The sequence below is a fragment of the Homo sapiens genome, chromosome 10 (genome assembly GCF_000001405.40).
Source record: "Homo sapiens chromosome 10, GRCh38.p14 Primary Assembly".
In the NCBI taxonomy this organism is placed as follows: Eukaryota; Metazoa; Chordata; class Mammalia; order Primates; family Hominidae; genus Homo; species Homo sapiens.
This window is the reverse complement of record NC_000010.11, coordinates 103871778-103884315: the sequence shown is the minus strand read 5'-3', so window position 1 is coordinate 103884315 and position 12538 is coordinate 103871778. Positions and strand designations below refer to the sequence as shown.

The 12538-nt window shown below is 46.6% G+C and overlaps 1 protein-coding gene across 1 annotated transcript in view; it reads left to right on the top strand.

Annotated features, from left to right (window-relative positions):
- The window catches only part of STN1 (STN1 subunit of CST complex), a 40616-nt gene extending 33869 nt beyond the window's left edge, over positions 1-6747 (top strand). The window contains exon 10 of the mRNA NM_024928.5: positions 1475-6747. Coding sequence (NP_079204.2) covers positions 1475-1632 — 158 coding nt within the window. The 3' untranslated portion in view covers positions 1633-6747. The remainder of the gene's footprint in view (positions 1-1474) is intronic.
- Positions 6748-12538: the final 5791 nt, after the last annotated feature.

Sequence of the window (12538 nt, the reverse complement as noted above, 5' to 3'; positions counted from 1 at the left end):
CTACAAAAATTGGTTTCGTTATCCCCTAATAGGCACAACCCCCAGTTTGACTACTGCCGACGACCTAAAAGGAAGGAGCTGAGGCAAAATTAATACAAGCAGAGAGTTGATTTGGGCCAAGTTTCAGGATTGCAGCTGGGGAGCACAGATTCAGGTTTCTCTGAATATACACTCTGATTAGCAGCAGTGATAAGTGGATTTTTTTTTTTTTTTTTTTTTTTTTTTTGAGATGGAGTCTCACTCTGTCACCCAGGTTGGAGTACAGTGGCGCAATCTCGGCTCACTGCAACCTCTGCTTCCTGGGTTCAAGTGATTCTCCTGCCTCAACCTCCCAAGTAGCTAGGATTACAGGTCCATGCCACCACACCTGGCTAATTTTTGTATTTTTAGTAGAGAGGAGGTTTCACCATGTTGGCCAGGCTGGTCTCGAACTCCCAACCTCAGGTGATCCGCCCACCTCGGCCTCCCAAAGTTCTGGGATTATAGGCGTGAGCCACTGCACCTAGCCCATAAGTGGATTTTTAAAAGCCAAAAAGGAGGACAGGGAGTGGGCTGATACAAAGTTGTTTGTCAGGAATTCTCATTGGTTTATAGATAACATTGATTGGTGACTGGCTATACATTGTTAAGCCATAGGGTGTGGATTATAGTGTTCAATTTGGCATTATTAGGCTAATTTATAACTACTTGTGCCAATAGCAAGCAGTTTCCGAGGTGAATATGTAGGAGTAGGGCGTGATTTCCGTTTCATGGTCGTGTCTCTCTGGGCCTGATAATTAAAAGGACTTGCATTCTTCAGATAAAAGTTATTTCATTTTCTCATTACCAACGTTTAAGTCATTGATTTCAACTAGGAAAGAGGTTACTAACTCTGAATTTGTATTGTTGTATACTAGATGGTCTTAGTTTGGGGCAGAGCATAAGAGGTTACTAGGAATACAACCATCACAGATAAGACTTTTGGAAGCCAGGAAGAGAGGAATGAGAACAGGCCAAAGGTAGGAATCCCTTCTCACCAGGCAGCCGCATCAAATCAGGACTTAGGGGGAAGCATACGGAGGCTGCAGCAAACCAGCTCTGCTGTGAGTTTCAAGAGGGCTCCTCCCTGAGAAACTAGAGGTTTGGCACTGAATACGTTACACTTATACATGTAATTACCCCACAGAAAAAAGTTTATCAAGCACTAAAAATCCACTAGGTTACAGATAAAAAAATCTTTGATTGGGAATCCTTGAAGGTTGAAGTTCAGAGTCCCTGAGCAGTGGCTCCATGTCGCCGTGGTGACATCAGGGGCCTGAGAACAGGTGTTTCTGTTTTGTTTTTGTGATCAGGTAGATCATGCATTTCTGACTTTAATGTGCATAAAGATCATCTGGGGATCTGGTCAGAATGCAGATGCCAAGTCAGGTATGGAGAGGACAGAGGAGGGCCTGACAGTTGTGTCCACACTCAGCCACCTACCTTTTTCCTGCAGACATGGAGAAGGGCTGTCACTTCCTGCACATCTTGGCCTGTGCTCGCCTGAGCATCCGCCCGGGCCTGAGCGAGGCTGTGCTGCAGCAAGTTCTGGAGCTCCTGGAGGACCAGAGTGACATTGTCAGCACAATGGAGCACTACTACACAGCGTTCTGAGCAGAGACACGCAGACCAGCTGAGGAGGACAAAGATAAGGTGGCATTCACCCCCAGGCTCTGACTTTCAGCATCATGCAGGGGCTTATCTGTCTGGAGGCAGTTACCTCATAATAAACTATAAAATATAGTCATCTTGGGAATGGGATTTGGCATAAATGTTGTTGGCTCCCTTCTGTCCACTATGTCCTTGGTGTACAATGACTTTGATCTCAGCCATGACACAACAAGAAAACCCTCCCTGTTGAGCTCCTGGCTGGACTGTGCGTTGTTCGCAGAGCAGAATGGGGAGGAAACAGTGTTGGCAGCTTAACTGATGTGTGTGGTTGGAGTCTCTTCCATGGCAAAGGGACACCACAGGGTAGTGAACATTCAGGAACTGAGGGGCATATGGCCTGATCACACAGTTCTAAGCTTTTCAAAACTTCAGGTTATCAGAGACCTTCCTGTGGGCCTCTCTTGCTGGCTAAGAACCGGTTTAGGGGAGTAGTTCTCCCTGGATGAGTGCTTACAGTTTCTGTGGCTCAGTTACCAGCAGTGGGGTTGAGACCTGGGTCGATGCTCTTTACAGGCCTGCCCAGAGATGGGAATAAACAGGGATCCACAGCGTGACTATGTGTTTGTCATTTTCCTTTTATTTCCTTGGGAATCGAAAGGTGTCCCAGTACATTTCCCTGCACTTACAGAGGTGCATGACTAAATACATTGTCCCTCGATGCCCCTGAAGATCACGGAGGCAGTCAGCCAATTGCCTGGCAGGTGGTAGATGTTATTTTCAGGGTTGCCGCTGAGTGTGCAGGATGTGCTGACACCATCCAGACAAAGACTCGGTATGTGCCCAGACAGGTGATGGAGTCATGCTTTTGCTCAGAATGACAAGGTAAAGGAAAAACATCTGAGGTATGTTGTAGGCCTGTTCTGACAGCAAAATGACAAATCCAGCCAGCAAAAATAAAGTGTGGAGAAAGATTTGGAGTTAATTACAGTCATTTCACAGAAGGCACTGCCTTCGTCTGCTGCATTTGCTCTTGATGTGATAAGCTCTTCGTGGCTCAGCTGGAGATCCTTTAGGCCTGGAGAGTTGCTCCTCTCTCCGTGGAAACAGGACAGTCTTTATACGCAGAAGTCCGCTGCAGCTCGATACGTCAGGCTGAGAGCTAGAACCAGTAGATTGCCTCCTGTCATAGACTTTTGTAATGATGCAAACCTTTGCTGATTTCTAACAGTGATTATGTAGTGGCTGCCCTGCATCTTCTCTGTGTACAGAAGGGTCCCTAGCATAGAGTCTGCCTGGAATGATGTCCTGGGCAGTTCTTCCTTGAGGTCAGCAGCTGTTCCACGTTGAATGCATCTGATTAGTGGGGCTGCCCAGGAAGGAGTTCAGAATCAGAAGGTAAAAAGGGCATACCCTTGCCTATAGCAACTCTGCTCTTAGGGGTTTATCTCAAGGAGATGGCTACACAAGTGTGAAAGGATGGTTGCACAAGGTGTTCATTGCTGTATAATCTAGAATTCTATATTGGGGAAAATACCTATAGGGAAAAAGTTAATTACGGTTCTTGGGCACAATGAAATACTATGCAGCTATGAAAAAAATGATGAAAGCAGACAGACAGTGTTGCCATGGCACACTGTCCCTAGTAGATTTAGTGGGAAGTAGATAGAGTTATAGATCTGTTTCTATAGTATAACACCATTATCTACAGCTCCCTGTGTGTATGTATATATCCGTAGAGAGAGTGTATATTTCTGCATGGAGGTCTTTATAAATGTAGCACATGTACATATATATATATATACACACACACAGTCGACCACTCCCTTCTCCTGGAAGTACTTTCCGCGTTTGGCTTTCAGGACACCAAGCTCTCTGGTTGCTCCTTCTCAGGTTCCTTTGTTCAGTGCTCTGCCTCCCTGAGGACTCAGTCCCAGACCTCTTTTCTATCTGGCTTGCTCACTGGGGTGTCTCCAGCAGCCACATGGATTATACCATCTACATGCTGTCTAACACCTCAGTTTAAACCCAGAATGGGCCTCTTCCCTGAACTGCAGACCCCTATATTCAGTTTGCTACTGACATCTCCACTTAGGTCTCTAATGGACATCTCAGATTTCACAGGCCCAAAGCCAGGCTCCCAATTACTCCTGACCCCAGGCTTGCTCCTGATAGTGACATGAGGCAGCCAAATGCCTAGGCAGAGAGGGGAGGGTCCCAAATGAAACCCCACGTTCAAGCAAAGATCAGCCTGAAGGCTAAAAGACCAGATTGCTGGTCCTGGATGAAACCCACCACGCAGAGTGGGAACTTCTGTTCCTGTTTGCCCACCCTTTCCCAATTGTTCTTTCTGAATAACGCCTTAACCAATCGAATGTTGCCTTTTCCAGTAATACCTACAGCCTGCCCCTCCCCCCATTCTGAGCCCATAAAAAGACCCAGACTCCCCCATATTAAGGGGACTTTCCTGCCTTTGGGTAGGGGGACCACCCCCACGTCTCCTCTCTGTTGAAAACTGTTTCATCACTCAATAAAACTCCCAGCTTTGCTCACTCTTCCACTGTCAGCACATTCTCATTCTTCTTTGGTGCTGGGCAAGAACTCAACCAGTGTGGAAGCCATACTTGGCCCAGGCGGGTGAAGTGGGCGGGCCGTCTCCTGCAGCAGGTAGCATGGTCAAGCGAGGCCCAGGTGGGCCGTCACCAGCCAGAGGTCCCTGGCTTGCAAAGTGACCGAGAAAAAAATCCTGTGCCACTCCTTTGGAAAATGTCCCTGATTCAGGAAGAGGTAGCTCCATCCAGTTGCTCAAACCAAATCCATTGGCTTCTTTCTTTCTATCATACCTCACATCCAATCTGTCTGCAAGTCTTTTGGCTCTACCTTCAGAATATCTCCAGAATCTTAACTGCTTCACCCTCCTCCCCGGCCTCCTCAGTCCTCTCTGCTTCCGCCCTGGCCCCTCTTGGGCTGTTCACAGCACAGCAGCTGTTGCCACCCTGTTAATGCTCCCACTCTCCTACAGCCTTCGGTCTTGCCCCAGGTAGGAGCCTGAGGCTGCACAGAGGTCAGCACGGCCCCGCTTACCCTGCCCTCCCAGCCCAGCCGCACGGGCCTTGCACACATGCCTCGGCATATTCCTGCCTTAGGGCTGGTGCTCCTGCTATTTCCTCTTCCCAGGTAACCATGTGAAGTGCCTCCCTCTGCCCTCTTTCCAGCCTTTACTTGAGTGTCACCTTCTCAGTGAGGCCTGCCCTCATTCCTCTTTCGCTGTTTGCAACCCATCTCCTGTCCCCCTTCCCAGAACTCCCTTTCCTACTTCGTTTTTCTTCACAGTACTTGATACTGCCTAACACACTCCATGGTTTCTTACTTGCCCTGTTTATTATTTTCCCCCAATAGACAGAATGTTCCATGATGGCAGAATTCTCTGTTTTGTTTCCTTCCATGTCCCCAGCACCTAGAACAGTGCCTGACGCATCTCCTAAGCAATACGACCAATAAGTATGTGTCTGGCTGCCTTCCGGCTGCCAGTGTCTGCCTCTTTCCTAGGGGCAGTGGTTGCGGGGGTGCTTTCTCACATGTCTTAGTAGGCTGTGCAGGCTGGAAGTGCTCAGAAGTCACACCCCCAGGGAGCAGCCTCAGCCAACAGCACCTTGGCTGTAAATGCCCCAGCTCCCTCGCCCTCAGGTAAGCATTGCTGAGGCACACGTTCCATACTCTTTTCCACAGTTCCTCCGTGGGACTGAGCACCACCCAGCCACCCACAGGAGCAGCTAACCTGATAACCACCAGCCTCACCCTCCCTGCCTTACTTCCCCGCTCCCCTTTACCACATGCTGACCTCCCAGATGCATTTCTTGCTTTCCGGTCTCTGTCTCAGGATTGGCTCCTGGATGAACACAAACTAACACTATGTTCACAAATATATTTGGGAAATGCTGGATGAATAATTATACACATCAGACAGATTACTAGAAATTCTCACCAAAGGGATGCACATGTTACCTCTGCATGGTGAGATCTCAGGTGCTTTTTACCCCACATAGCTATCCTTTGGCATTTTTATAATTAGCAAGTGCTCACTCTTCCACTGTCAGTACATTCTCATTCTTCTTGGGCGCTGGACAAGAATTCAACCGGTGTGTAAGCCAGACTCGGCCCGGGCAGTCTCAAACTCCTGACTCCTTATATAATTTCTACAAAAATTATAAAGCTATTTCCCACTCCCCACCCCACATTCATGTAACCTGAAGCATGAGTAAACCAAGAATGAGGTAGGCCTCTGTCTTCTAAGCAACATCAGAACTCTAAGAACATGAGGGACTCTTAGAAAACTCTCTGGAGCTAACCACAGCTGGGTCACTGCTCATGTACTGAAGACCAGCCAGAGGGTTCCCCTGAAAAGGAGGGAAACTGAGCAAACATTCTCCAGTTCTCTTAGTGTGCACATGTTTCAGGAGGTGTGAACCCCACATGTAGCTTGTGTAGGCAAGAAGACAAATAGTGCTACTGTCTGGTCAAGGATTTGTTTGAAGAGCCATGATTATGCCCATATGGTAAGCCACCAGTGCTCCCCATCCCTGTAAGACACTTCTTTCTCATTATTTTCTCCTCTGATGGTGTGCCAGGATGCTGGCCAAGAGAAGCCAAGTGGAAAGAAGGCTGTTCAGTGACAAGGAACCTAAGACTTAGTGCCAAGGACTGAAACCAAGTAAACTTGTAATTTTCCATGATGGAAACATCTACACTTTCTCATTAGTGGCCTCTACAGCAGTTGCCCCAAAGAAGCGTCTCATTGTTTTTTTACTACATTTATGTGAAGCATACAGGCAAACTCAGAAAGACTGTGATAAGGCTCGCCAGAGATGCCTGCACAGGTGCTGGGGGAAAAGCAGGACCATCCTGAAGGGAGATGGTGTCTGTGGACAAAGAACTCTGCAGTGGTTCTTATTTGCATGATTTCTGCTGGTGGAGGCTGTAAATGTGAGCTCAAACTCCCACATAAGTGAGTTTTCATTGTAATCCAGAATGTTTTTAAATCACCCTACTTCTATTGAACTTGCACTATCATCTGTTAACCTCTACTGTATTTATTAAATAAACCTGAATAGGTAAATCACAGTACAGCAAAAGGTTCTGTGTTCCCCAGAATTCTAATCAAACTCCAAATTCCTGAAAAGGCTCTAGTCCTTTCCTATATGTCAAATTTAAATGATAAGTTTTCATTTTGGAACATAAAGAGGGATTTTGAAGACCACAGCATAGCCCTGGGTTTTTGCATAGAGATAATAAACAGACAATCTCTTTTCAGACTGATTTGAGAAAATGTCAGTGTGAATTGGTGAAAAATCTGGGTTGGAAATAGTGCTGTTGTATTACTTCAGGTCTACCCAATGGTCTTTATTAAACCTGAAATACCACGAAGGAACAGGTTTCTGCTCTTAGGGAATTTGCTTTAATAAGAATTAATTGTGTACCAGTTATTAGTATCATTTGATTATTATGTATTTATCATTTAATATTTAGGTGATGTAAAAGTACTTCAACGCAAGAGAATTGAAAACATGGCCACACAAACACTTGTAAGCAAATGTTCACAGCAGCATTATTCCTAATAACCAAAAAGTAGCAACAACCCAAATGTCCATCAGCCAATTAATGGATAAACAAAAGGTGGGCTATCCATACAATGCAATATTACTCAATGAAGTACTGATATATGCTAAAGCATGGTGAACCTTGAAGAAATTAAGTGCAAGAAGCTAGACACAAAAGGCCACATATTGTATGATTCCATTTATATAAAATGTCCAGAAAATAGGCACATACACAGAGAAGAAGTAGATGAGGCTGGGTGCAGTGGCTCACGCCTGTAATCCCAGCACTTTCAAAGGCCAAGGTGGGCAGATCACCTGAGGTCAGGAGTTCAAGACCAACCTGGCCATGGCTAAACCCTGTATCAACTAAAAAGTACAAAAGTTAGCCAGGCGTGCTGGTGGGCACCTGTAATTCCAGCTACTCGGGAGACTGAGGCAGGGAGAATTGCTTGAACCCGGGAGGCAGAGGTTGCAGTGAGCCAAGGTCATGCTACTGAACTCCAGCCTGGGTGACAAAGCGAGACTCTGTCTCAAAAAAAAAAAGTAGATGGTGTGGCCAGGCATGGGGAGGGTGGGGATTGGGTGGTACAGGGCTCCTTTTGGGGTTAATGGACGTGTTCTGGAATTAGATAGTGGTGATGTGTGCACGACTCTGTGAACAGACTCAGAATTATGGGCTAGGTTGGGATTCCTCACATCATGGTGTCTGGGTTTCCAGGGCAGGCTTTCCAAGAGATAGCAAGATAGCAAGAGCCACACGGAAGCCACATGGCCCTTTTTCTGTAGCCCCAGAAGCCACAGCCTCACTTCCATGGCCTTCTAATTGTTGAGGCTATCACAGTCCCATGCAGGTTCGAGAGGAGAGGAATAAACTCCACCTCTTGATGGGGAGTAATGAGGTTCCAGAAGGGCATATAGGTCCGGGAATATTACCCTGGCCACATTGGAAAATACAGTCTCTCACAGATATCTTTCAGCTTTTATATAAATACAGCATCATTATTTAAAGAGCTAGTCTTAAAAATACCAAAAAAGTACAAAGAAGGGGAAAGAATGGTCTACCACTTCCCAAATACCGTGTGTATGTATGTGTGTATATATATGTGTATATACATATCTCTCTCTATATATATAAGTATGTGTGTATATATGTGTGTGTGTGTGTGTGTGTATATATATTTAGGTGATGTATGTATACATACATATAGAGAGAGAGAGAGAGAGAGAGAGAGACGGAGTTTTACTCTTGTTGCCCAGGCTGGAGTGCAGTGGCATGATCTCGCCTCACCGCAACCTCCACCTCCCGGCTTCAAGCAATTCTCCTGCCTCGGCCTCCCGAGTAGCTGGGATTTCAGGCATGTGCCACCATGCCCGGCTAATTTTGTGTTTTTAGTAGAGATGGGGTTTCTCTATGTTGGTCAGGCTGGTCTCGAACTCCCGACCTCAGGTGATCGGCCCGCCTCAGCCTCCCAAAGTGCTGGGATTACAGGTGTGAGCCACTGTGCCCAGCTTACTGTGTATATTTTTAAGATTATATATATATTGTTAGGAAAATAACCATGTTAACAATATTTTTGTGTATCCTTCCAAAAAAAAGTCAGCGTTTTATATGCACTTCACATTTTTATTAATGCTATATTTTGGAAGTCTTTTTTTCTTTTTCACTTTAGCATGCAAAATCAGCATCTTTTAAAATGGTGACATAATTCCATCGTATTGCTGTTCCATAATGCACTTAGCCAGGGCCCTATTAAAAAACATTTAATTGGTTTCCAATTTGTTGCTATTGCAACCAATTCTGCAGGAAACATTTTTCTTTTCTTGGTATATGTTTAAAGTATGTTTGTATGGTAAATTTCTAGCAATGGAACTGCCAGGAAAAGGGGCATGAGCTTTTTAAAATTTGCATAGGCACTAACAAATTACCCAGTAAAAAGACTGATCCATCGTACACTCCTATCAATGATTTATGCGTCTACTGTTTACCCACGAGCTCACCCACAGTTTGTATTATCAGTATTTTTAGTCCATGTCCATCTGATAGGTGAAAATGATTTCTGGTTTCTGTTTGCATTTATGTTTTTTTAGTATGAGTAGTGTTGAGCATCTGTTCATCATGGGAGCCTTTAGATAAAGTTCTACCCTGGACAGTAGCCATTGCTTCCAGCAGGGGCTACAGACGGCCAGGCATGTGTTCTAGCAGTGGTATCTACTGCGGAACCAGCCCAGAGCGCAGCTGCCAAGGTGCCAGTTAATACACAGCTGGAATAAACATCCGGAAGAACTCAAAACTCAAAATTCCAAACCTGCCACTCCAAGTGCTTGGTCACATGCCCACCCAAATATTAAAAATAATAATGTGTTACAACAATGATGGTTTTATTTATTTTTCTTTTTTCTATATCACAAGTCATCAAGCAAAGAAAGGACAGCAATCTTTTTAAAACCAGCCACCATATTATTGACTCAGACCTCTCATAGACCAGATGCCATTTAGCTCTGGTTCAGTGACACTGTCCCCAGTCAGATTAATGTGAAAAACTAAGGATGCTTCTAAGAAAGTGCTAATTAAGTGGAGAAGGTAGTTTTAGTAATAGAAGTGGTCTTACAGCAGCTGCCATTGACTCAACATAGCTTAATTATCATCATAAGCTGAGGCTTCACTTTCATCATTTACTGGGTTTGGTACAGTTAATTGGGGCATTGGGCAACACCATTTTTGATCATCCTCTTGGCTAGAAATTGCTCCCTCGGGGAGGAAGGCATTTATTTTTTATTCTGAGGACAATCTGTGATTGAAGGAAATAAAGCAGGGTGAGGACAGAGTAGTAGCCTTCAGTTCTTCAGCTCTGCTTTAGAGCAAAGCAGCAGCGGGGTGCATGAGCTCTGATGTGGGACACAGGCATTTGTGACAAGGGCTGAATGTTACCCTGTACTGAAATTGTGAATGATTATTCTAATATGAGTTAGGTGGCAGAATAATATATTGAGCTATTGATGTGGGTTTTGTTTTTCCTGTATTTTATTTCTTCTTTCCAAGCTGGAAGCTAGCCTTGCCTCAGGGAGGTTTGGCTTGGGGGCTGAATTCAGAAGTTGTTTGCGCAGACTCTCTGGTTTTTTTTTTGGTTTTGTTTGAGACAAGAGTCTCGCTCTGTCACCCAGGCTGAAGTGCAGTGGCGCAATCTCGGCTCATTGCTTGAACTCCTGGGTTCAAGCGATTCTCCTGCCTCAGCCTTTCAAGTAGCTGGGATTACAGGCGTGTGCCACCATGCTCGCCTAATTTTTGTATTTTTAGTAGAGACGGGGTTTTGCCATGTTGGCCAGGCTGGTCTTGAACTCCTGACCTCAGGTGATCCGCCCACCTCGGCCTCTCAAAGTGCTGGGATTATAGGCCTGAGCCACTGCGCCTGGCCTGACAATCTGCTTTATGTTTTCTGGAAGCCCGAAGCCTGGGGAAGGATTGGAGATTGGTGGCCCCCAGGCATCGCGGATGGGAATGTGCTCCCTGTGACAGTCTCATGGCAGGACTTCTGTGGAGAGGTTTTGTGGTGTCTCTCAGAAGGTCAGAGCCTTAGCCTAGGATTCTCAGCTTCAGCAAGATTCCTGTGTGTCAGCTTGGAAAGGAAGCGGCCACAAGCCCTTCCCTGAAGGTGCATGCAGGCTGGAGCCCCGGGGATTTCCACAGCGGTCTTGGTCTCAGAAGAAGAGTGGACCTGTCCCTGTTTTTCAGGTACCCTGTAACCTCCTGGATTTTCACATATTTCCAGGGAAGGGAAGCCTGCCCCATCCTGTTACCACACATCTAATTTTCATGCCAGGCTCGAGGTTGAGGGCATCAAGGCTGAGGTAACTTGAAATAAAGAAAAAAAGGGACCAGGCATGGTGGCTCATGCCTGTAATCCCAGCACTTTGGAAGGCCAAGGCGGGCGGATCACGAAGTCAAGAGATCGAGTCCATCCTGGCCAACACGGTGAAACCCCATCTCTACTAAAAATACAAAAATTAGCTGGGCATGGTGGCACCCGCCTGTAGTCCCAGCTACTTGGGAGGCTGAGGCAGGAGAATCGCTTGAACCCAAGGAGGCGGAGGTTGCAGTGAGCTGCGATCGCGCTGCTGCACTCCAGCCTGGTGACAGAGCAAGACTCTGTCTCAAAAAAATAAAGAGAAAGAAAAAAAGGACTATGACAAGTCTCACCCACCTGCGTTTTGGTAGTAAGATTCATACTGCACCACAATTAGAATAACATTCAAGGTGAACGTTAAGGTCGTGCTCCCCATGCCCTTCCCTGCCAGAATGCTCTCGAGTGAGGGAGAAGGGGAGGACGTCACCGTACAGTTACAGGGACATTGCCTATGGCCCTCCCTCGGGAGTGTGCTGTGACAGGAACCACCTGTCCTGCATCACTGCTGACACAGGATTGGACATCACTGCCTCCGAGGATGGAGGAGAGATATGTAAGATCTTGTTGCAATTCCTCAGTGGGGTCCACCTCATCATGAATGAAAATGCCACCTTGTCCCACAACCATGACACCTGTTGCCAGAGGGGAAGAGCGACCTGTGAACACAGGCCCTGTTCCTGCCAGGCTGTGTGGGAGCAAGCAGGGGACTCAGGAGAGTGAGCAAATAGAATCTATTCTAGGAGATTCCAAAACCACCTGAGCAATGAGTCTTCTCCCAACATGAAGAAGCTTGAATGCCTTACTCATCGCAGCAGCTGGCCCAGCCCTGCCCTGCCCAGCCCAGTGCCTCAGGAAGAGTCAGCAAGCTCTGCCTGTGCCTGTGGTTTTGGTCCTGTCCTGGCTTGACTTGTCCTGGTGGAGGGCGAGACCCAGAAGCTCCGCTCCTGGGAATGACAGCTGGCGAGGAGGTACTGGTCTCAGCACTCTGCCACAGCTTAGGCCGTCAGCACGAGCAGATGCCCCATTAGGGGGCCTGAGAACTGAGAACGGGGACTGTAATCTGCTATTTCTGTCCATTTGTTGTTGACCCAGGTAACCAGGAAATATGGGAAGCAGGCAGATTCTGGTTGTTTCCACAGGAGTTGAGACTTAACCAGACAACTAACTCTCCTGAGTGTTCCCTCTTGGGTGGGCACACCACAGTTCACCCCGTAGTCTGTGGTAGACTCAGCATTAGACACAGTGCTGGTGCTTAAGAAAAGTTTCCATGAACAGGCAGTGTGCTTATTGAGTGCCAGCTGTGTGCAAGGTATCGTCCCAGGTACCGAAGAGGATTCCAGGACAAAGTTTCCTGTCTTCAGGGAACTGTCAGTCAAGTGGATCAAAAGACACATGCCTGTGTGATCTACAACC